Source organism: Homo sapiens, chromosome 11, assembly GCF_000001405.40.
Source record: "Homo sapiens chromosome 11, GRCh38.p14 Primary Assembly".
In the NCBI taxonomy this organism is placed as follows: domain Eukaryota; kingdom Metazoa; phylum Chordata; class Mammalia; order Primates; family Hominidae; genus Homo; species Homo sapiens.
The window spans coordinates 10,531,247-10,554,994 of record NC_000011.10 but is presented as its reverse complement, the minus strand read 5'-3'; the positions used below and the strand labels follow the sequence as shown (position 1 = coordinate 10,554,994).

The 23,748-nt window shown below is 39.4% G+C and overlaps 1 protein-coding gene and 1 long non-coding RNA gene across 5 annotated transcripts in view, besides 1 other annotated feature; one reads left to right on the top strand and one right to left on the bottom strand.

Annotated features, from left to right (window-relative positions):
* The window catches only part of IRAG1-AS1 (IRAG1 antisense RNA 1), a 58,697-nt gene extending 44,938 nt beyond the window's left edge, over positions 1-13,759 (bottom strand). For all 4 annotated transcript variants that reach the window (NR_046374.1, NR_046375.1, NR_034093.2 and 1 more), the window contains exon 1: positions 13,453-13,759. This is a non-coding gene — a long non-coding RNA (IRAG1 antisense RNA 1). The remainder of the gene's footprint in view (positions 1-13,452) is intronic.
* Positions 13,623-13,732: an enhancer, noted in NCBI's record as "active region_4438". NCBI's record gives its function as "activates an Ori minimal core promoter by ATAC-STARR-seq in GM12878 lymphoblastoid cells {active_cell/tissue: GM12878}" and the evidence as "EXISTENCE:reporter gene assay evidence [ECO:0000049][PMID:35858748]".
* Positions 13,808-23,748, top strand: part of RNF141 (ring finger protein 141) — a 29,515-nt gene continuing 19,574 nt past the window's right edge. The window contains exons 1-2 of the mRNA NM_016422.4: positions 13,808-13,873; positions 20,790-20,979. Of these exons, the coding sequence (NP_057506.2) occupies positions 20,837-20,979 (143 nt within the window). The 5' untranslated portion in view covers positions 13,808-13,873; positions 20,790-20,836. The remainder of the gene's footprint in view (positions 13,874-20,789; positions 20,980-23,748) is intronic.

The window sequence follows — 23,748 nt, the reverse complement described above, 5'->3', positions numbered from 1 at the left end:
GCACACCAACATGGCACATGTATACATATGTAACAAACCTGCACATTGTGCACATGTACCCTAGAACTTAAAGTATAATAATAAAAAAAGACAAAAAATAAATATCATGCTTGAAAAAAAAAAAATTAAGCCTCTGTTTCAGAAAAACTCCCGAGCCTTGTTTTACCTCTGCTCTCACACCACCACAACAGTCATCAACTCAATAACAAAAGAACTCAATGACAAAAGGTAAGGGGGTTTTCCCCACACAACAAGCCGCAGACACCAGCTGGGTGTCCTCTAATTAAATTCTGACACTATCTACCTGGAGGTAGCGTCAGATCCCACAGGGTGAGGGCTCAGTCCCCAAAACTGCCTCCCACTCCACAGACACCAGTCACAAGACTGGGCCTCCAGAACTCCCGACAACCCGCTTTAAGTAGGGGTTCTCATGACCCCCTCTTTGGGTTCAATTAATTTGCTGGAGCTGCTCACAGAACTCAGAGTAACACATTTACAGGTTTGTTATAAATGTTGTTACGAAGGATACAGATGAAGAGATGCATAGGGCCAGGTAGGGAGGAAGGGGTGCAGAGATTCCATACCCGCGCCATCTTCCAGGAACCTCCATGTGTTCAGCCATCCGGAAGCTCTCCAAACCCTGTCCTTTTTGTTTTTTACATAGGCATGATTGACAACTGTGTAGAAATGTGATTGGACAAAAAGGGTATGACCTCATACTAATAGACTGAGTTGGGAAGCCCAGCAAGGCCTGCCTGTTCAGGTTCTCCTTGGCCTCTCTGTGCAGCTTTTCATCCTCCAGATTATGGGGCAGGACTCTGTCTGCAATGAGGGTCTTTTGACCCACAATCAGATTAGAGTCCTGCCTTGGAGCAGGTAAAAGGAGGACAGGAGAAGGTCAGAGAAAGAGATTCTGTTGGCCGGGCACGGTAGCTCATGCCTATAATCCTAGCACTTTGGGAGGCCGAGGCAGGCAGATTGCCTGAGCTCAGGAGTTCGAGACAAGCCTGGGCAACACGGTGAAACCCCGTCTCTACTAAAATACAAAAAAATTAGCCAGGCACGGTGGTGTGCACCTATAGTCCCAACTACTCGGGAGGCTGAGGCAGGAGAATTGCTTGAACCCAGGAGGCGGAGGTTGCAGTGAGCCAAGATCGTGCCACTGCACTCTAGCCTAGGTAACAGAGTGAGACTCCGTCTCCAAAAAAAAAAAAAAAAAGAGAGATTCTGTTTCCTGAGACCTGCTCCTGAGCCCTAAAGCACCTCAACATTGTAACAAAAGACTGTAACAAGGACTCTGGGAGTTATGAGCCAGGAACTGTGGATGAAAACCAATATATTAATATTTATATAATCGTAATATCATAGCCTCTAAACAGGAGGGAAAGCACTTCTTTGTTAGTTGGATTTTCTAGTTAAAATAAGTAAAATTTAGTGGGTTACTCCTGTAATAGTCTATATATAAGGTCAAGTTTGATCTAAGAGCATTTTTCGTAATACTAAAATCAAATAGGAATTCTCTCCTCTCTCTATGTTCCTCAGGAAATGCCCACATTTCCAAACGGTGCTGATGTGATTTAAGATTTCCTCCTTTAGCATCTAGAAGACTATTTGCTTTTTTAAAAAAAAAAACTTATTTCAGAATAAATTTACCAAAAAAATGTGAAAATAGTGCAAAGATTTCCCATACATCCACACCAGTTTCCCGTTATTAATATCTGATATTAGTATGGTGCATTTGTAACTTAATGAAACAATGCTGATATGCTATTATTAACTGAAGTCCATACTTTATTCTGATTTCCTTAGTTTTTACCTAATGTCCTTTTACTGTTCTAATAGCCTACCCAGCACACCACGTTACATTTAGTCATCACGTGTCCTCTTGGCTATGACAGCTTCTCTGACTTCTCTTGTTCTTGATAATTTTGTCAGTTCTGAGGAGTACTATTTGGGTATTATATAGGATAGCTCTCAGCTGGGATTTCTCTGATGTTTTCTTATGACTACACCGGAGCTGTATGTTTTGGGAAGGAAGACCACAGAAATACAGTGCCATTTTCATCATGTTATATCAACATGATCTATCACTGCTGATGTTCACCTTAAGCACCTGGCTGAGGTAGTGTTTGTCAGGTTTCTCCACTGTAAAGTTATTCTTCTCTATACCATATTCTTTGAAAAGATGTCACTATGCACAACCCACACCTAATTAGAAAGGAGTTATGCTCTGCTTCCTCAAAAGTGGAATATCTACATAAATTATTTGGGCTTTTCCTGTACAGGAGATTCATCTATTCCCCCTCATTAATTTATTTTTTAAATAATTTATTCATATCAGTATGGACTCAAGAATATTTTCTACTTTAGGTAATAATACAATACTATTTTATTTATGTTGTTGCTCAATTTTTTCGAAGACTGACTATTGGGACTATTGGGAGCTCTTTCCATTTGCTCCTGTATCCCTTTGACATATTCCCTTCTTCGTGTTTTTATTGGGCACTTCCCTACTTTCTGGCACTATAAGATGCTCCAGTGTCCTCTTATTTTGTATCTTTTTTTGTATCTTATTTTGCCCTGGTTCTAGAATCAACCATTTCTTCAATGAGCTCTTGCCCCCTCCTTTTCTTTAGAGAGAGAGAATATCATTTCTTTACCTTCCTGTCACATGACTTCCCCTGCACTCTTTGACCAGTCAATGACCTCCATACTCTGGCCCACTCCGAAACCCTTAAAAACCTTAGCCTCAAATTTTCTGAGGAGACAGATTTGAAGTTTCCTTCTGTCTCCTTGTTCAGCAGCCCTATCTATGATTAAACCTCTTTCTCTGCTGCAACCCCTGCGTCTTGGCATATTGACTTCCCATGCACATTGAGCAACAGACCTATTACAGTTGCATCTCCTGCTTCCCCACTTTTCTTATTATAGAGGAGACGGAAGCTTCCCTAGTGGACCCATTCAGAGATAATTGCTCTGGGAGGCATTCCTGGGGCTGAGACCAGAAATTATTTCTCCAGCCCTTCCAATAATTTTATAAGTACCTAATTTCCTGTCTTAAACTTTTTTTTGTTGTTTAAAATAGTTGGCAAGTTTTCTGTAAGGGAACAGTGAAATAAATGACACTGAGTGCATTTTACAATTTGACCTTGAATCCTCTTCTCAAATCTTATTCATTCCTGCAAGGATACTTCATGCTATGGCTACACAAATTCATTTACCATTCTAGAATTTAATCTGTACGATGCCCTCTCATTTTGCAACTGCCATTCCTTCTATTTTAATCACCTTCCTTTTCTTCCTAATTGTATGAGTTATCAATTGTTGAAAAGCAAATTATCTAAAAACTTCATGACTTTTACAGCATTTATTATCTAACATTGTTGTGGATCAGGAAACCAGGCATGGGTAACTGGGTCCCCTGCTTCGGGGTCTCTCACAAAGCTGCAATTCAACTGTCTTCCAGGGCTTAGTCATCTCAGGATTTGACTGGAATAGAATTAACTTTCAAGCTCACTCGCATGGTTGTTGACAGGATTAATTCCTTGTTTGCAGTTGGCCAAAGGCTACCCTCAGTTCTTTCCTAGCAAACCTCCCCTTTGGGACAGCTCACAAAATAGCGGTTTGCTTCATCAGAGCAATAAGCAAGAAGAGCCAGAGAGGAAGCGTGCTGGCAAGATGAAAGTTATAATCTTTTAGATCTAATCTTCGAAGTGACATCCGATTATTTTTGCCATATTTTATTCATTGGAAGCAAGTCACTATGTCCAGCCCATGCTTAAGTGGAAGGGATTATACAAGGGCATGAATACCAAGATGAGGAGATCATTGGGAGCCATTTTAGAAGGCTGCCTCCTATCACATTAATGAATTTTTCTCATTCTTTCTTTTTAAAATTTGTTTACACATCTGTGTTATATGCCACATTGTATTATGTTAATTGTGTACATATTTTATTTTTCCTTGCATTCTTAGCACTTGGGTAGTATATGTAAATCTAGCACATTTACTGAGTAGGCTGTGAGTAAATGTTGAATGAATACATGTATATACATTCATCATGTATACATTTATTCACTGAGATTTCATGAGCTGCAAGTTATACCTTTATCCAGTTATCTGCATTAAGTGCTAAGGTCACTCAGTACAGGGCTAACTGTTTCTGTCCACTTAAATTTTGTTCTTCTTGAATACTTTATTTTGGTGTAGAATGCAACTATGAACAAGCCAGAAGAATGCATAAAGGCTACTATACTTGAACTTTACTCTCTGAGTTGGCCATTGACTCACTTCTGTAAGTCAAACTGATATTTATCTTAATAGAGAAACTAAACTGCAGTGTGTTTTGGACTGTGGGTAATTAAAAACAAATTGAGTTCCCTCAGTAACAACAAAGCTAATAAGTATTGGCAAAAATTTGATTCCTTGGTCTCTATATTTCTATTTTAGTCTTTGAAGCCTAGGACGCTTTCTTAGCATTTAGTGCAGAATTTTAGATTGCCATCATTTTCTGAAAATTAGAATCCTTTTTGATAACTTCCAGACTCATTTTACCACTCCACTGTTATTTTGTTTGAATTTTGCCTTCAGTGAAGTTGAAAATATTTTTGTGATAGAAAAAAAGACAAAATCAATTAAGAATACCAAAAGACTGGCCAGGCACGCTGGCTCACACCTGTAATCCCAGCACTTTGGGAAGCCAAGGCAGGCGGATCATGAGGTCGGGAGATCAAGATCATCCTGGCTAACACGGTGAAACCCCGTCTCTACTAAAAATACAAAAAATTAGCCGGGCGTGGTGGCGGGCGCCTGTAGTCCCAGCTACTCAGGAGGCTGAGGCAGGAGAATGGCGTGAACCCAGGAGGTGGAGCTTGCAGTGAGCCGAGATCGCACCACTGCACTCCAGCCTGGGCGACAGAGCAAGACTCCATCTCAAAAAAAAAAAAAAAAGAATACCAAAAGACCTAATTCAGTACTCCACTGTGCATATTCTTTTACCTATGAAGATCAACATTTCAGCAAAGTCAACATCATAAATGATAACAGTAATAACAAAGACTTCAATGTTATAAAACATTGATGTTATATAACATCGATACGATGTTATAGTATCATAACCAAATATCTTAAAATCATATTATGTTTTCTCCATTAGTAAAGATTAGTAAAATAATGTATCAAAGATATACCGTCAAGTTAAAGAACATAACAGAAATTTCTATGTAGTAAAAATATGGGGAGAGGATGTTTAAATATGAAGATCCAGCATGGAAAATATGTCTGGGTGGTCAATCCAGAAAGGAGGGTGGGATGAGGCACATACCATTAGTAGGCATCAGAAATGATGTCATCTCACCCTTGGTATTGACTGGTATCTGGGCAGAGGCAAGAGGCAAATTTGATCCTGATTTGGACAGAAGCAAGGCTTTGCCTGCAAGAGATCTTGCCCCAAGCCTGAAACCCCGAGGCAGGTAGATCAAAGCACTAATATACTCAAACAAAATGACATAATAATCATTCAGTAGTCAGTGGGAAAGCTGAGGAATCTGCATCTGCATGAAGGAAAAAAGTCATGTGGTGACAATCAGAGCTGGGGAACAGTTCGGACTGTAACATAAGCAAGAGAATATTCCCATCCTTGCTCCCACTTCTTCATGTCCCCTTTCCAATTCCCCACTCATAGGAAGAGGAGTCGCTAAACCTACTGACAAAGACCAAGACTTTCAATGGTAGGCACACACATTTTATTGATTGATGAGGTTATCCTTAAACTTCAAGGTAGCTGAGCTACCTTAAAGCTCAGCACCCATTCATGGCACTCACTTCTCTGCTTCCTGTCTCAGCCTCTGGCAGGACTTGCGCCCTAGACGCAGGTTAGCCACTTTCTACCATTACTTCTATTCCACATATGGAGTTAGATAGCTGGACTCAGCCCCTGTTGCATCTTTCTCTTCGTGGATCCTACTTAGGCCTCCAGGCTTAAGCCATATGCTTAAAAGAGTTTTCTCAGAGAACTCTGCACTGAGGGTTATTACCTGATATAAATGAAGTATGGATGGGGGCAAAGATAATTATTTTTGTTGTAATATCCAAACTTCTTTTATTCTCCTTTCCCAGAATGATGGCTTGGGATGCACCAATGTAACTTTTCTCTGAATCGATTAAAGCAGAATCCTGCTCCCCGCAGAACAACAAACTTCTAGGTTTATCTGGAAGCAGGTGACTCAAATATGCTCACAAGCAAGTGTGATCACCTTCCACATAGCATTAAGTGTTTTCCCACTGGTCTACTCCACTAATTCCACTAATTCTACTCCAGTGAATACTATCATATCTCCCGCTAGGCACACTGACCACTTCCCCTTGTTTTGTCCATCTTCCTCCATAACTATTTCCTCTAGGTATCACCACATCTAGCTGGTACTGCTGCCCCTACTAGGCACTGCTTCTATATCTTCTGGGCACTGCCACACCCACAAGGAACTGCTGACTCTGCCAGACTCTACTGCTGATTCCCTGGTAATATCCTAGGTGGCATCTACCAAGTAACAGTGCTACTTCTCTACATGATGTCTTGTCCACTGGAGACTGCTGCCTTTTCCTCCAGCAACCACAGAATTCTCTAGGCTCTGCCATCTCTGCCAAGAACTATTGCGGTTGCTATTGACTGACACCAGCACAGATACGCTGGAATTCTGAAGCCACTTTAGTATGGAAATCAAGGCACCCTTGCTGTGGTACATTCATTCCTATGAGAGATATTATGTGTAAATATGGAAATACCGGATTAGAACACCAATGAAAGATAACAATTGGCAATGTAGATTTGGAAACCATCTCAACACTGGTGAAAATTAAAGCTGTGAGTGCATGAGCACCACCGCCCCCCGGCCCCAAACATTTAAAAAATAAGAGCAGAAGGCTGAGAACAAAGTTTGAGTAGAAGCAGCCAGAAAGAAGAAATCAATGAGATAGAAAAGCCTCAAAGTCCTAGAAAATGATGAAGCTTTCGTCTTAATTTTAGGTGACTAGGTGTTCCTCTTATTCTACACTGACAGAATTAAAAGCAGTAGTGTATTGTTAGGAAAAGCACTGGACTAGTGGCCAGGAAATCTGGATTCTAACCCAGTTTAATTAACTTGCTCTGTACCCCTTAGATGAATCACTTTCCATCTTTGGGTCTCAGCTTCCTCACCTCTAAAAGAAGAATATTGGACCAGGCGATTGTTAGGCAGTCTTTTTTCAACTTTATGATTTTATGAATTACATACGGAAAGTTAAAAATGTTTACAATCCATAGCCACTCAGGGTCTTCCTCATATATTCCCACAGTCCTAACACAGATGCTTAGTGACCTTACAAAAAAGCAGGAGACATTGGACATACTTTCCTAGAAAAAAATATACCAGGCTGGGCTCAGTGGATCACACCTGTAATCCCAGCACTTTGGGAGGCCGAGGCGGGCAGATCACGAGGTCAGGAGATCGAGATCATCCTGGCCAACATAGTGAAACCCCATCTCTACTAAAAATACAAAAATTAGCTGGGCATGGTGGCGCACACCTGTATTCCCAGATACTCGAGAGGCTGAGGCACGAGAATCTCTTGAACCTGGGAGGCGGAGGTTGCAGTGAGCCGAGATTGTGCCACTGCACTCTAGCCTGGCAACAGAGCAAGACTCCACCTCATAAATAAATAAATAAATAAATAAATAAATGGAAGAAAAAATATACCATTCCAAAAGTCTCCAATTTTCCTGATCTTGACTACAGGACCATGTTTACTAGAATTTATCAAAGCCTCTGTGTTTTCTTTAACTGGAAAATACTTATTTAAAAAACTATGAAAATCTGAACATACATTACAAATTACAAGACTCATGGCAAAATGATCCTTCTTCTTATAAAAAACTTAGAGGTTTCTTCTTCCATAACTTTTACTATTTATATATGTGGTTTCCTACAAATATTTTTCTTATACTTTTTTATATGTAAGAAAAATAAAGTTTTCCTTATTCTGCTGCAAAGTAGCTTCAAAATTCCTATTCCACAGAGGATTTCTAATCTCTTCTATTTTGTTTTTTAAGATAATCTTTATTACTGTCTTGTTCTGTTTTACATTCTAATTAATTCATTATGCTCATGCAAAGGTAAGAAGAAGAAAGCTGTTGTGATGAGAAGGTATCTAGAGATGTCATTAATAATATTAATTTAATACTGATTTTAAATATTTTAGTCTTTTAGTCTTTTCCTTGTCAATCCTCACTATACTCCCCATGAGATATAAGAAGGAGTAATGGCTCTATTTTACAAAGTTGAAGGCAATTTGTGCAGAGCACTTTTCATGACTGTTTAGGCCACAATACAAAACCCTTTAAAATTCAACTAGCTATGTCTTTTTTAAACAAGTTTATTGAGGTATAATTGGCATACAATAAACTGTGCATGATTAAAATGTACGAGTTGAGAAGTTTCAACATATGCATCTGTGAAACCATCATTTAAAATCAAGAAGATGAACATATCCATCACTCCAAAAAGTTTCCTCCCACTCCTTTGTGGTACTACCCTCCCACCCATCTCCACAACACTGCTCCCGCATTCCCAGGCAACCACTGATCTGCATTTTGTCACTATACATTAGTTTGGATTGCCTAGAATTGTATATGAATGGCGTCACACCACAGGTACTCTTTTATTGCGGGGGAGGATCTGGCTTCTTTCACTCAAAATAGTTATTTTGAGACTCATCCATGTTGTTGAGGTATACCAATCAACCATTCCTTCTTATTGCTTAGTAATATTCCATTTTGTGGATATGCCACAATTTATTTTCCATTCACCTACTCATGGACATTTGGTTGTTTCCAGTTTGGGCCTATTACAGTTAAAGCTATGTATATTCATGTATAAGCCTCTGTGTAGGCATATGCCTTCATTGCTCTTGGGTAAATACCTAGGAGTAAAATGGTTAGATCATGTGGTAGGTGTATATTTAGCTTTTTAAGAAATAGCCAAACTCTTTTCCAAATTGTTGTATTATTTTACATTTCCAACATGCAGTATACAAGAATTTCTGTTGTTCCACATCCTTGTCAACATGTGATATGATCTGTCTTTCAAATTTTAGCCATTCTAGTAGCTACAGTGCACAGTGAAACCTTATTATTTTCCTGATTTGCATTTCCCTAATGATTAATGGTATTAATTCATGCACTTATTTTGTCATTTATAAATCTTTGGTGAAATGTCTGTTCAAATATTTTGCCCATTTTAAAAAGTTGGGTTGTCTTCTTATTGGGTTGTAAGAGTTATTTATGTATTCTAGTTAGAAGTCTTTTGCCAAATATATGTTTCGCAAATACTTTCTCCAAGTTTGTGGCTTACCTTTTTATTTTCTTAACAGAGTCTTTTAAAAAGCAGAAGTATTTAATTTTGATGAAGTACAATTCATCCTTTTTTTTTTTTTTCATTTATAGTTTGTGCTTTTTGTGCCATCTTTAAGAAGTCTTTGAGAAATCCAAGGTCACTAAGATATCTTCTAGAAGTTTTGTGATTTTAGCTCTTACATTTAGATGTATGATCCATTTTTAGTTAATTTTTACATATAGTATTGATGGCAGTGGCAGCCCGTCTGGAGCAGCTGCTGCAAAGATGCAAGCTGCAGTGAGGGAGGCCTGGCCAGGGCTGCACACTCCACAGAACCATGAAAACAGGAACAGGCTGGAGCCCCACCTGCTTCTGAGTTGGTGGGGTGGGAGCCCCACCCTCCTGGGCACAGCTGCAGCTGCCCAACCACAGCTGTGGACCTGGGCATCCTTGTGCTCTCAGGGGCCCAGGAAGCCCCTTGCCCCCACAGGCTTGAAAGTGCCTGCTCCTGCTGTCTGGCCTCTCCCTGCTTCTGGGGCAGAGCAAAGTTGTGGCCAAGCCCAGACGCTGTCACAATCTGGCAGGTGTGTGCATGCTTGGGGCAACACTGACATGCCAGCCCCCTGCCACCTCAGCCCCCTCTGGACTTTGGACACTGATGAGCATGGGAGGGGAAGCTGAGGGGGCGCTGAGGGCAGCTCAGTGTGGGCCTGCAGGCTCCCGCTGGCACAAACAGCCTTGGTGCCATGGACAGTGGCATGAGGCAGACTGGCTCCTGGGCAAAAAGGGGTGGGTCCTCAGTGAAACCCTACCTTTAGGCAACTGAGAGTCTGAAGCCTGGGGGCTGGGCTGCCAGGTCCTCAGACTGGAGTGAGAACTTATGGCACTTTTTCTACTGCCCATGGACCAATCAGCATGCACTTCCTCCCTCTTGAGCCCATAAATATCCTAGGCTCAGCCAGACTCAAGAAACATGGGGACAACCTGCCTGCGTGTAGGAGCTACCCACTCCAGATCTCCTCTCTGCTGAGGGCTCAGCAGACATCCTGACGACCTGCCTGCAGAAAGGAGCCACCCACTGTGGGTCTCCTCTCAGCTGAGAGCTGGGCAGACAACCGGACAACCTGCCTGCAGAAAGGAGCTACCCACTTAGAGTCTCCTGAGAGCTATACTGTCACTCAATAAAGCACCTCTTCACCCTACTCACCCTCCAATTGTCTGCATACCTCATTATTCCTGGATGTGGGACAACAACTTGGGACCTGCCAAATGGCAGGACTGAAAGAACTGTAACACAAACAGGGCTGAAACACCCCCTCACTCCCCATGTTGCAAGCGATGAGAAGGACAGAAGAGAGAAGGAGAGAAGAGCTTTGACACTTCGAGAAGCCCAGACCTAAGAGCTCCCTGAGCCAGGACTGTAACACCCTCTTGGGGGCTCTGCATTTCCTGGCATCTCAAAGCTTCCAGGTGCCACCACATTCCCTAGTGCCAGCAGTGGAAGCCGCTTGTGGTACTCCTGGTCCAGCCACAGCTTTGCAGGAGCCAGCGCCCATGCCAGCACCTGGAGCCACCCGCCCCGCCACAGCTGGCGTGCCTAGCTGTGCACAGCGGCCAGACCTCGCGCTCACTTGCTCACGCACCCCTCACCACTTTGCGCCTGGCTCGTCCTTGGCAGGCATGGGATCTGGGCCAGTGGCATGAGCCGAGTGCAGCCTGCAAGGCCAAATGGGCAGAATGAGCCCAGTGGGCCTGAGCAAAACTCGGGCAAAGGAGCCACCGGCCACAGAGGTTTCTGGCTGGCAGAGCAACACTCCAAGGATCCTGTGACAGTATGAGGAAAGGAGCAAGATATTAAGAGTTTTTTGGCATATGCTATTCAATTTTTTCAGGTTTATTTGTTGAAAAGATTATCTTTTCCCCCACTGAATTGCCTTGGCATATTTGTCGAAAATCAATTGATGACATATGTATAGATACATCTCTGGGTTCTATATACTGTTCCATTACTCTATCTATTTTCATACCTATACTATACTGTGTTGAGTAGCTCTTATTATAATGTCTTGAGATCAGGTAGTGTAAGTCCCAAAACTTTGTTTTTTTTGATGAAAGTCTTGACTATCCTAGGTCCTTTGCATCTCCATATAAATTTTAGAATTAGTTTGGTCATTTCCATCAAAAAGAAATCTGCTAGAATTTTTATTGGAATTTCCTTAAATCTGTAGGTCAATTTAGGCAGAAGTGATATCTTAAAAATGCTCAGTCTTCTGATTCATGAACATAATGTATCTCTATTTATTTAGGTCTTCTTTAATTTCTCTTAACAATGTTTTTTATTTTATTTTAGATTCAGGGGGTACACGTGTAGTTTTGTTACATGGGTATATCGAACAATGCTGAGGTTTAGGCTTCTAATGATCCAGGTCACCCAAGTGGTGAACATAGTACCCAATAGTAGTTTTTTCTACCCTTTTGGAATCCCCAGTGTTTATTGTTCCCAACTTTGTGTCTGTGTACTCAACGTTTAGCTCCTACTTATAAGTGAGAACATGCGGTATTTGGTTTCCTGTTTCTGCATTATTTTGCTTAGGACAATGGCCTCCAGCTGTATTCATGTTGCTGCAAAAGATATGATCTAGTCCTTTTTGTGGTTGTATAGTATTCCATGGCGTATATGTACCACACTTTCTTTATCCAATCCACTATTGATAAGCACCTGGGTTGATTCCATGTCTTTGCTATTCCATAATATTTTATAGTTTTCAGTATACATGTCTTTCTCATCTTTGGTCAAATTTGTCCCAAATTTGCTGCTTTTTTTTTTTTTTTTTTTTTTGCTGATAAGAGATATTTAAAAATTTTCCATTTCTAATTGTTCATTGCTAGTATATAGAAATACAACTGATTTTTGTATATTTGATTTTGTATCTTGCAACTTTTGTAAACTCACTTATGAGTTCTAGCAGCTTTTTTGTAGTATTCCACAATTTTCTTATGCAAATAAATGCAGTGCTACAACTTCCTTTCCAACTTGGATGCCTTTTATATATTTGTCTTTTTTTATTTCATTGACCAGAACTTCCAATACAATGTTTAATTGAAGGCAATTTTTACAGAGTAATATTTCTAACTCCCAGGCCCGGATTAGGCTGAACTATGGAATCTTGTTGAATTTGATATCTTTTGGAATTTATTAAATCATTATTTATACTTCATTTTTAAGCTTTTTCCTTTTCCAGTGTTCAAATATTCATCAAATGTTCAAATATTGAACAAGTACCATGCTGGCTGTCAGGGAAATAATGGTGCACAAACAGGCATGGACCTAGCGCTAATGAAGTCTTACCGTACTACCGAGGCAGTTTAAAACAGGAATTAAAAACACAGGTTCAGGGTTCTGTCTGCTTGGGTTTGAATCTGGCTCTGCTCCTTAATGGTTGTTTGACCTTGGAAAAGTTAATCGACTTTTCTAAGCCTGTGTCTTAGTGAAGGTATTAATAATACCTACTCACAGGATTGCTGTGAAGATTAAACGAATTAATACCTTTAAAGTCCTTAAAATACGGTTTGACATATAGTAAATGGTCAAAGAGTATTATTATTAGAGGGAAGAATTAGCTCTTCACAAGGTGAATCTACAAGTGACTGGTGAAGGAGGGGTGTACAAACAAGAAACATAAAAACCAGTTTAACTGCTAAGCATAGAGGCAGCAGTGTCAGCTGTACCTGGGTTAAAATCCTTGCTCTGCTGTTTATTGTCTAGGCAACTTTGACCAGACGACTTAAACAAGAGCAATGCCCGTAAAGTGCCTAGTGCAGTATTTGGCACACAACAGATGCTTAAAAGACAGCAATTACTGATTCAGACGTCCCGCAGAGCAGTAATATCACTAACATGTGCTCATCATCATATCTATCATTTATCAAAGCTCAGGATTTTGAACCTTGTAATTACTTTTCATACATTCTCTTATGCTTAACAACTCGGCTAGGTGAACACAATCCATTGCCTCATAAAGAAACAAGATGACCTTTGTGTATCTATCATCAGTGGGGAGGCTGGAGGTCTGGGAAGTGGTACCTTGGAGCCCAACTGTTGACCAAACCAGGGCTCTCAGTGCGGCCTTGGTCGCCAGCGGGGCGCTCCACTTTCCGCTCCGGAGATGGCACCAGGAGAGATGGGAGTCTGCCAGGCTGTTTCCATGGCCACCTCATGAAGCCCCTGCTCCGGGAGCGTGACAGGCGAGACTCTCCTTCGCCGCCACCTCTCGTCTCAGATGACCATCTGGGCTCGAAAGCCCTCAGGAGCTGCGGAGCGCGGGTCGGTAGGGGCGCTGCAGAGGAAGGTTGGGCGCCGTCTCCCGGCAACGCGCGGGGGGCGGGGCTTTGCGTCACAGAGGTGCGACCGGGTCCCGGCCTGAGTCGCGGCCACCCGCAGGTCTGAGCTGTGGGCTGAGGCAGCGCAGCCGCTGCCGCAGGGTGCGCGATGCCTTGAACCTGGGGTGAGCTCCGCGGCGCTGTCCTTTCGTGTTTCCCTTGCTAGCTGCTCCAGGACTCTGGGTCTGGGAAGAGAAACCCCAGAGGGCCCTCCGCTGCCGAGCCAGGCTTCCGCGGGGAGACAGGCCTAGCCCCGCCGCCCTCCCCGGGCCTCGGATTGGGGCGTGGGGACGGCTGGGGAGGCCATTCTATTGACGCCCGTCTTCTGCCCGGCGGGTTCCAGTTGCCCGGGGTGGCGGTGGCTTGTCCCGCCTCGGGGTGGTTCTGAGGGACCCGGAGAGAGTTTTTCCTTCTCTATCCCAAAACGGTTGTTTGAATATTGCCGCCGGCTCAGTCATTCGGCCGCCGGACTTAGCTGTTGGTTAAATGTCCAGGTGCGCTTGAGGAGGGGCTGAGGCGGCGTAGCCAGAGCGAGCGCTAGGGTGGCCCGCGGGCTCGGTCTCCGCCGGGCTGGACACCCAAATAAGAAACCTTTTGCCTGGGACGATAGCTCAGAAATAGCCACGTCGATCTACTTAGCCAGCCCCACACTTATGAATTGGCTTAGGCTGCTACCCTTCCCAAAGGTCTTTCCTTGTCAAACTAGCTGCTACCTTGAGACCCGGCTAAGAAAAGAACGTTTTCTTGCTAATAATAAGAAGGTAGTGATTACACAGCAGGAGCAGAAGGCTTCTGTGTTAGCTTTTGAAATTATTCCTTCAGTTATTTGTCTCGGCGTTACAAAATGTGGATTTACGATTGTTATTGAAATCGATCCCTATGCCCCTTATTAAAGGTAGTGTACCTTTTATATTCTGACACTGTCCTATTTAGCGGTGCCAGCTAATTCAGTTCTTGCCTCTGGCATATATATAAAGCTGCTGGAACACTTTCAATTGTTTATAATTCTTACATCTTCAGCACGAATTTATTCGTTTTCACTCCCTTCTGCCCATTCTTCTTGCTATAAAATGACCTCTACCCATTCAGAATTTTGTCTGGGGGCATGAGCTGCCACCGGCCGACGATCCTAAATTAGTCACCTCCATGTCGAAGTCACCCGTCTGAGAAGTGATGCTTTCTGAATTCAGAGCTCAAAAATAGTATGGATTTTTATCCTTTTCTTTCACATTGCCTGACTTCAGTTTCTAGAACTTTTTCTCAAGAATATGACTATATGTTTCAAAAATTAATATTTGTCATTTGGTGTAAATGAACTTTATATTCGATGTGTGTAGCCTGATCCTTCTTGGTTCCCATCTAAATACAAACACGCTTTCCTTCCCAAAAAGGCAAGGGAGGTCCAGAGAGAATTCTTACAAGTCTAATATGCTTTTTCCAATATGAAATGCATTTAGTAAACACACTGTTACTGTGAGAAATCCATATTCTTAATCTCCTAGTACGGCACTCTATCCTTTTGTAGTTTCTCTCTCCTTCTCTCTCTAATATATATGTATGTATCTTTTTCTGATCAAGATCTTTGATTCTGGAACAGGCATTCTGGACTCTATAGTGACTCTGGCCTAATTATTTCACTATGTATCTATATTAACTTGTCTTGAAAAAAAAAAGTTGATATCTGTTTACAGATCTACAGTTTGAGTAAACAATGAGTAATAAAGTAAATAATATCCTTAGGGACCCAGTCAGTAGTACTTGGTATTTATTACTGATGTTAAAGTTGACTTGACAGTGAAAATCATTGATGTTTATTTCAATTAAATCCTTTTAGGTGAGGTTGATACAAAATTTGATGGAGAACTGGTTTCAGAGAGGTTTTTAAAATACTACAGTGCAGTACTTGTCATTTAGTCATTTTGGTGCATTTTCAGCCTTTTCCATTTTGCTTTAGTTATTTTATGAATGAATTATGGTTTAAATTTTTAGGAGTTTTTGAGCAGTTTTTTCGTTTTTGCTTTGCCAGTTACCCATGATGTAATTTTAATATTTTTATAAGGAATATTTGAACTTCCACAATTCATTTGTTAGAAAAATAAGTGATTCACTATGTACCACCCACTAGAGAATGTGGCATTTTTGGAATCCTTGATCTTGTGCATTTCAAAATAACAGTTCTTTATTTAGAAAATCCTTCAAATGCTTTTTGAAAGCATATTTTTATCTTGCAAAAAATGACTGTGTTATAGGTGGCACAATAATATGAGAGCTGCTAGTTCTTTGAGAAATCTTGACCAGAAATTCATCTTTTGTTGAATTCTGTGCCAGTGGTTTGCAAATTATGTTTCTATGCAATACCACTGTTGCATGGCCTAGGGGGGAGTATCTTGTTAAAATCAAATAGTAAATGTTTCCCAGTTTACATAAGCATTAATTTAATGACAGATTTTCACAGTTTTACATTTTCTTTCATACATATTTTTAACTTCTGCTTCTCTCCAACCTAGTACTAATAGATGACTGACCAAATTAACAAAAGTCAAAAGAATACTAAGTGAATAATAATAAAACAAAAACTGCCAATGGTATTTACTGCATTTATTCAGTAAACATCTATTGAGTGCTTGTGTATCTGCCAGAAGACAGACCATAGCTGCTGTCCTCAAGAAGCTCACTAGAGGGAAATGGCCAAGTGACTTAACGAATGTCATAGTATGATAGAAATATGTGCAGTCACCAAAGAGGGACACTGAAAAGCTGTGGTGGTTGACTAGAGGATGGCCTCAACAGATTGTTTTCGTGAACATGCACTCTGTGTTGTGGTTTTATATTGTATGCAGATCACAGAGTCATATCTTATTTTCACACCCATATAGTGATAGATGTTAATATTTATCAATATTTTATGGTTTTCAAAATAAACTAAATGTCAAGCCCTCTTTCTGGAACCAGGTTGAAAACCACTTCTGCAGGCTCTCTCAGGTAGTCTCTAGATACTGTTGCATTTTAATGCAAGGAGTTAGTGATGAAGTTTCCCAGATACCAAGTACAGTTACAAGATAACAAGTTAATATGCTGCCTCAAATTATAAACTTTACTCAAAGTTAGGGCAGCAGATGAAAACAATGCTGAAACAAAGGGGATCATTTTCTATTAATAACTCAATAAATAAGCAACTAACTCTTCTTTTGAAATATGGTTTTGGTGGGTAATGTAGGGTAGCAAAATACGCCACTTTGGCATAAGGATTATTTTGAGTTAAAAGCACATTGAAAAGCAGCAGATGTAAGAAGTGCCCACTGACCCTCCTAATTCTTCCTGAAGGCTGGAGATAAAACAGCCATGTGAAAGATGTCCTCTCTATGCCAGGAGGAAGACATTATCATTACTAGAAGTGGGCAATCAAAGCTGAGAGAAATGTGTTCAAAGAAGCCTTCTTAAAGTAACCCTTATCTTCCTAGTCACTTTTCTGTGATTAACTGGCCCAGCCCAAACCCTTGTGTCTTGTCATGTTTTCACAGTTTACTTCTCCTTTGTCCAATCTACTATGTAAGCTTTTGGCCTTAATTACTTTTTTTAGTCCTTATTTTTCTTGAGGGCTCCTGTGTATGTATAAAAATTACTAAATAAAATTTGTGTGTTTTTCTCCTGTTAATCTGTCTTAGGTTAGTTTAATTCTTGGGCCCAGCTGGAGACCTCAGAGAGCAGAGGGAGAGAAATTCTATCTCCCCTATACCACGTTGGTTAAATTATCATAGGTATTTATATTAAATATTGAGACTATATATTTCAAAAGTTCAGTTTTTTTCTTTGTTAAGTAATGTAGATATTATTCAAAGTTTTCAGCCTGGTTGACTAGAATCTTAATTACATTTTCATTAAATTGGTACAGGAATGTTAGAGGAAGGTTCAGTTTCATTTTGGGAATAAAATGTTAGGTTAAAGGTCACCTACTCCACTTCCCACCCAGGTAAAAATCCCTGTAACACTTATTAGATGTACTTCTAATCTTTACCTAAACACTTCCATACTTCCAATGAGAGGGAGCTCACATGTAGCAGCCATTTCCACTTCTGGATGGTGCGACATGCTTATCATCAACTGAAATCTGCCTTTCTAATTTATACTTACTATACTTAGTGGCCATCCCATTCTCTGTAAATGAATCTTGTTTTTCCACATGACAGCTCCTCAGATATTTAAACAAACTTATATTGCTTCATTGTTACCAAACTATGACTATCTAGAATAAACCTCTTTTTTTTTCTATGCCCATGAATATGTTCTAATTTATTAGTATCCTTTAAAGCCAACTGCTTAGAGCTGAATACAGACTTTTCAGTGTGGCCTAACCATTGCAAAGCATAATGGACTAGTAGGCTGCTTGCTCAAGATACCTGCTTCTAGCAAGAGTTTAGGATTATTTTAGCATACTTGTTGCCCCCGTTATACTGTTGACTTATTTTGATTAAAAACCCCAGACTTGGCCGGGTGCGGCAGCTCATGCCTGTAATCCTCGGCCTGGGAGGCCGAGGCGGGAGGATTGCTTGAGCCCAGGAGTTTGTTACCAGACTGGGCAACAAACTCTGTTTGTTTAAAGAGACTCCATCTCTTTAAAAAACACAAAAACAAAAACCCAGACCTTCTGTATTTTAACTGCTTTTGAGCACATCTTACATATGTGTTTTTGTGCAGTTGGCTCTTCAGGATATAACTTTTAGTCATATTAAATAGCATGTAAGTGTCTGTTTTAGTCTTGATCCTATTATTCACTAGATAATATTCATTTATTCCAGTTTTGGTCATCCGCAGATTGGGCAGGCATACAGTCTTCAGGTCATCAACAAAAATGTTAAACAGCCCAACTCTTGGTGCCAGTTTCCCTCTCCCTTTGCCTCTCTGCTTTAGTCCTTGTGGCCTTTTTAAAAATTACCTCAAAGTCACCGTGCTGCTTCCTGTCTCAGGCACTTTTCATAACCTCTGCCTGGAGTGTCCTCCTTTTGCCATTTCCCTACTTTTTTTTTAATCCCTAACTCTGACCATTCTGACCTCAAGTAAAATGTTGTTTGCCCAGGGACTTCTTCCCTGATACAAAACTAGGTCAAGTCCCCCTTTTATAGGCTTTCACAGCACCTGTACTTGTTCACCTAGCACTTCTCATTTTGTAATTATACATTTATTTGTGTGGTTACTGTCTCTTCTCCACTGTATTGGATGCTCCACAGTGGCAAGAACCATGTTTCTTTTGTTCACTGTTTTATCTCCAGAACATAAGCACCAGGCACGTGCTACTTGTTGAATTTAATTTTAAAAAAGTCCTGTAACACAGTGGCTCCCTAATACCAGTCTGCAACCCTTGGCTTCTGATGATGTTTTCATAAGTTTGGATTCGATCAAGAAAAATAAGGACAATGTGTAGTATACCTGGTAAATATGTGGTATACCTCATTGTGAAGTTACTGCCCTTCTTGGGAAAGACTTTTTTTCTAATATTATATCCTACTTTTCAGGTTATAAGTTCTTTTTGAGATTTTTGTTAAGTTTTGGGGAATTTTTGTTTATTTTTGGAAACTGTCCTTGCTTAGAATTAAAAGAAGTATCCAACACCATGGTGCTTTGAGATTTTACTAGTCTTTGAAATTCAGCAATCACTGTTGTTGACTGCCCTAGAGACCTCTTCTAAGCTAAGATCTTTAATTGTTTCTTCTTGGATACAGTTGCTGTAAATCCACTTGGCTATATTTACATATAATTTGACTTCAGGGATTTTTTTTTTTTTTTTTGGCCTGGATCTTCCTCAACAACTTCCTTTCATTTATCTCTATAATGTGATATTTATTATTACCAAGTAGGCTCAGATTCAAAACTGTTGTTTTTTGTTTTTTTTTTAAATTACAATTGTCCTTTTCCTATTTTAGGTAACTAAAGGAATTAACTTCAAATACAGTACATTAAATTTTAATACCTAAAGGAAATTTTACATATTTTGGGGTTACTAACTTCATAAAGTTATATATATTTTAAATTTATAGCTTTATTTTTTGATTAATGATAAAGCAATCTTCCTACCAAAACTTTTTCTATAAGAGTATTACTGTTTCACCTGCTTTATGTGATATGGTTGTTAATTTGGATGAAATAAAATGATAGTCTTTGATGGATAAATAAAATAGAATTTCTTGGGGGGGCATCTGATTTTGGGGGCATTTAAAAACTTGATAATTAGATATATATTTTGGGGGTACCTAAAAGAGTTAATGAACAAAAGAGCTATCTTTTTCCAGGCAGAAAATGTGAGGTGGTTAAAATATCTAACATTTTAATTTTCTTAGGTTTTTCAAGCCACAAGTCTTTTTATATATTTTTAAAAATTAAAACTAAGGTACACATCTATAAATAAAGTAATTCAACAAAAAATTATTTAGCTGATGTAAATATATTGTGAGCCAGTATGTCATAGTGGATAAGAATGTAAGTACTAGAATCTGAAAAACAAATTCAGAGTTCACTTTCACCACTTACAGCTGTGTAACTTTAGATAAATCACCTAGCTCAGTTTCCCTGTCTATGGGAAATAGGTAGGGGTGTAATATTGTCTACCTCTTAGGATTGTTGTAAGAAGTAATTGACATAATATACGGAAAACAGTTTGGAGCCTGACATGTGGTAAGCAGTCAGGAAATGTTCTTAGGAAAATTATAGAAGGTAGACAAACTTCCTCTTAAATACAATTACTTGAATGCGTGTGTGTGTGTGTGTGTGTGTGTGTACACATGCACATGTGCTTTAGTGGTTTTTGACTTGGTAAAATTATAAGAATTAGAGGTTCATCACCCTCCCAATAATATATAAGTGAATCCTGTTTTCTCATTTAGCTATGTGAATCTGAAAACAGAGTCATTTAAATTCTACCTTAGACTCATGTAGGTCTACTCAACTCTCACTTAAAGGTATCCCTAGTTTTTCTTTATGTTTTTGAAGAATGAGTATATTGCCGTTTTTGTATAATATGTAAAAGTAACTTTTCTGTATATTTGACAGAAACTATGTGAAGCAACACTCTGGATTTTGAAAGACATCTTTTCATCATGGGACAGCAAATTTCGGATCAGACACAGTTGGTTATTAACAAGTTACCAGAAAAAGTAGCAAAACATGTTACGTTGGTTCGAGAGAGTGGCTCCTTAACTTATGAAGAATTTCTTGGGAGAGTAGCTGAGCTTAATGATGTGTAAGGCTTGCTCTTTTTGTTTTTCGTTTTTCCCCTTGTTGTATGTATGCCCCATATGTCATGGCTGTGTAAGATATAACCAGAGGTGTTGATTGGTAAGACTTAATGTTTTCAGTTAGCATTAACAAATACTTATTGAGTATCTATTATAAGTTGACTTTCTATGTAGCTTTTTAAAAGTATGTAATGGGGACAGAAGATATGGAAAGAACTTAAAATGGAACTTGGAACACAGCACAGGCATATTGAAGCAATTCTAGGATACAGTAGTACATCCCAGCATCTCAATTTTATACCAATAGACTCTTGTTTGAAAGCACTAAAGGGGTGCATAACAAAATGGAATATGAGAATTAGCCACTCTAGAGAAAGACTCCTAGGATAGTCAAAGGTAACACTGAGAAGGTTTCTGTACATGAAGCAATTCATTCATGTGTGTGTGTATATAGACACACACATGCATATATATATATACTTTTTTTTACTGTGTCATCATTTTGCTAGAGGAATACATATGTAGTAATAGCTTATTTTCATCACTGAGAAATAATATATTTCATTTATTCATATTTTCTAATTAATTAACACCTTTAAATTTCTACTTAACTCTTTGACTAAATTTCTAAAATGAAATATAAATTTCTCTGCCTTCTTAAAGAGTACACCTAATACAACTTAGTCTTCTATTTGTTAATTTATTTATCAATTTTGGTATTGATCTATGTAGAAGCTATGAAAATATATAGGGCTCTTTGTTCCTGAATGCCCCCAGACCACTGTGCTTTTAAAATATGACTTTTTTGCTATTTATTTTCTCCCTTGGTGACAATTGGGCAGATGTCATATCTTTCTTTTAAATCTGCCTCTAGCAACATCCACATCTACCTTTATTTATGTATATCTTCTAACCCCTGGGAGTATAATTAGAACCTGTGGAGTCACCTCTTAAATGAGATCTTAAAGGTTCTCTGTTTAGTCTCTTCAACTTAGCTAACATTCACTAAGCACATAGTATGTGCAAGGCCCTCTGCTAAGGATTGGACCTTTTAACTGAGGGCCAAGTTGATTACGCAGGTATTAATGGCATGTCCACCTCTCTGAATCTCAGTTTTCCTGTTATCCCATATTACCTCTCCTTAAACCCTAAAAAGGCTGAATGAAATCGACTAGCAGTTCAGGACCACTTAGTATATAAACTTACAGTACTGTAGTCACTATTAATAGTTTAAGGTAAGATATATGAACCCACTCCGTAGGCATTACAACCATGGTGTTAGGTGATAAGAGACATGCTTAGCAATCTGTAACATATTAGATAAGCTTGATATACTGTCTTTATGTGAAGACATACTGTCTTTATTGGGAAGAATAAAGACTGTCTTAAAAGTTATCTTAGAAGATGGTTTCTTTTAAGAAGATTGGATTTCATTCATTAAAACAAAACAATATAAAACAAAAAGCTGTATATAGTTGTGGGGTGTGTGTGTGTGTGTGTGTGTGTGTGTGTGTGTGTGTGTGTAGAAAATGAACTAAACTATTCCCAGTGCTTGTCTCTCGGTTGGGAGATGGTGGGAAAAGGGGGCAGAGAGGGAGATTTTACATTTTACTGTGTGTATTTATGTATTTTTATGATAAAAATATAGTCATTGGTTTTAAAAACTCTAGCATTTTACTTATTTTTAAAAATTATCCAAAGGGTAGTGTGCAAAGCATTAATTCTGGGATTATATTCTTAAAGAATTTTAAAAATAGGATTCTGAATTTAGTAACATAAGAGTGGAATGCTTTGTTATGTTTATATTTTCAACTCTTATGAGCAGTAATCAATGACATTTACCATTCCTTTAGAGTCTTGGAATTTATATTCATAAACCCTGTCTATTGTATGAAGTTTTGCCCTTTAGCATAAAGATACAGGTATTAGATAAAATGTACCCTATAAAACCATCCACAAACTAAGCTTACTGTGTGATACAGAGGTCTTCCTTTTATTTATTTAGCACAGGATATTTCTGACTGGATTTGATTCTTAAAACCAATTTCCATGGGTCAGAATTGGCATTTCAGACGTGCAGTGATCTCCGAGAACTGTAGAATTAAACCTATACAGGACGAAGCTTGGCAGCTAGAAAACAGAGCTGGAAACTGGCACGGCTGAATTATTTTCACCGAAGACTTTGTTTCCTAAGGCTAGTTGCTTAACTTTCGATGGCCTCATTTTATTTAGCTGTTAGTTGAGTGTGATATCCCCACTGGTGCTCAGAGAGAGTTGTTAGTAATGATAAAAGGGAACTGCAATACTTAAGCATGTCTTCGAACTGATTTAAATTAATGTTGATAGCATGATATTGAATTATCTTCTAGAAGTGATACATTTTTATGTTTAAATCCTTTAGCTCTCTAAATTAAAATTACTCTGCTAGGGGAGGACAGTAGAGCTATATATAAAGTGTCTCAAATCATTTGTTTTACTTGATGTAGCCCCAAATTATCTGAACAAAAATTTTCAAGAGGTTTGTTAGTATCATTGTTTGAACAAGGACTGAACCAAGAGCAAGATGTTTTTCATGCTTTATATACGTCTGAGGCAACAGTCAAAAAATTTTGATAAATGACACTAGCTAACCTTTTTTTTTTTTTTGAGACTGAGTCTCACTCTGTCGCCCAGGCTGGAGTGCAATGGCGTGATCTTGGCTCACTACAACCTTCACCTCCCGTGTTCAAGCAATGCTCCTGCCTCAGCCTCCTGAGTAGCTGGGATTACAGGTG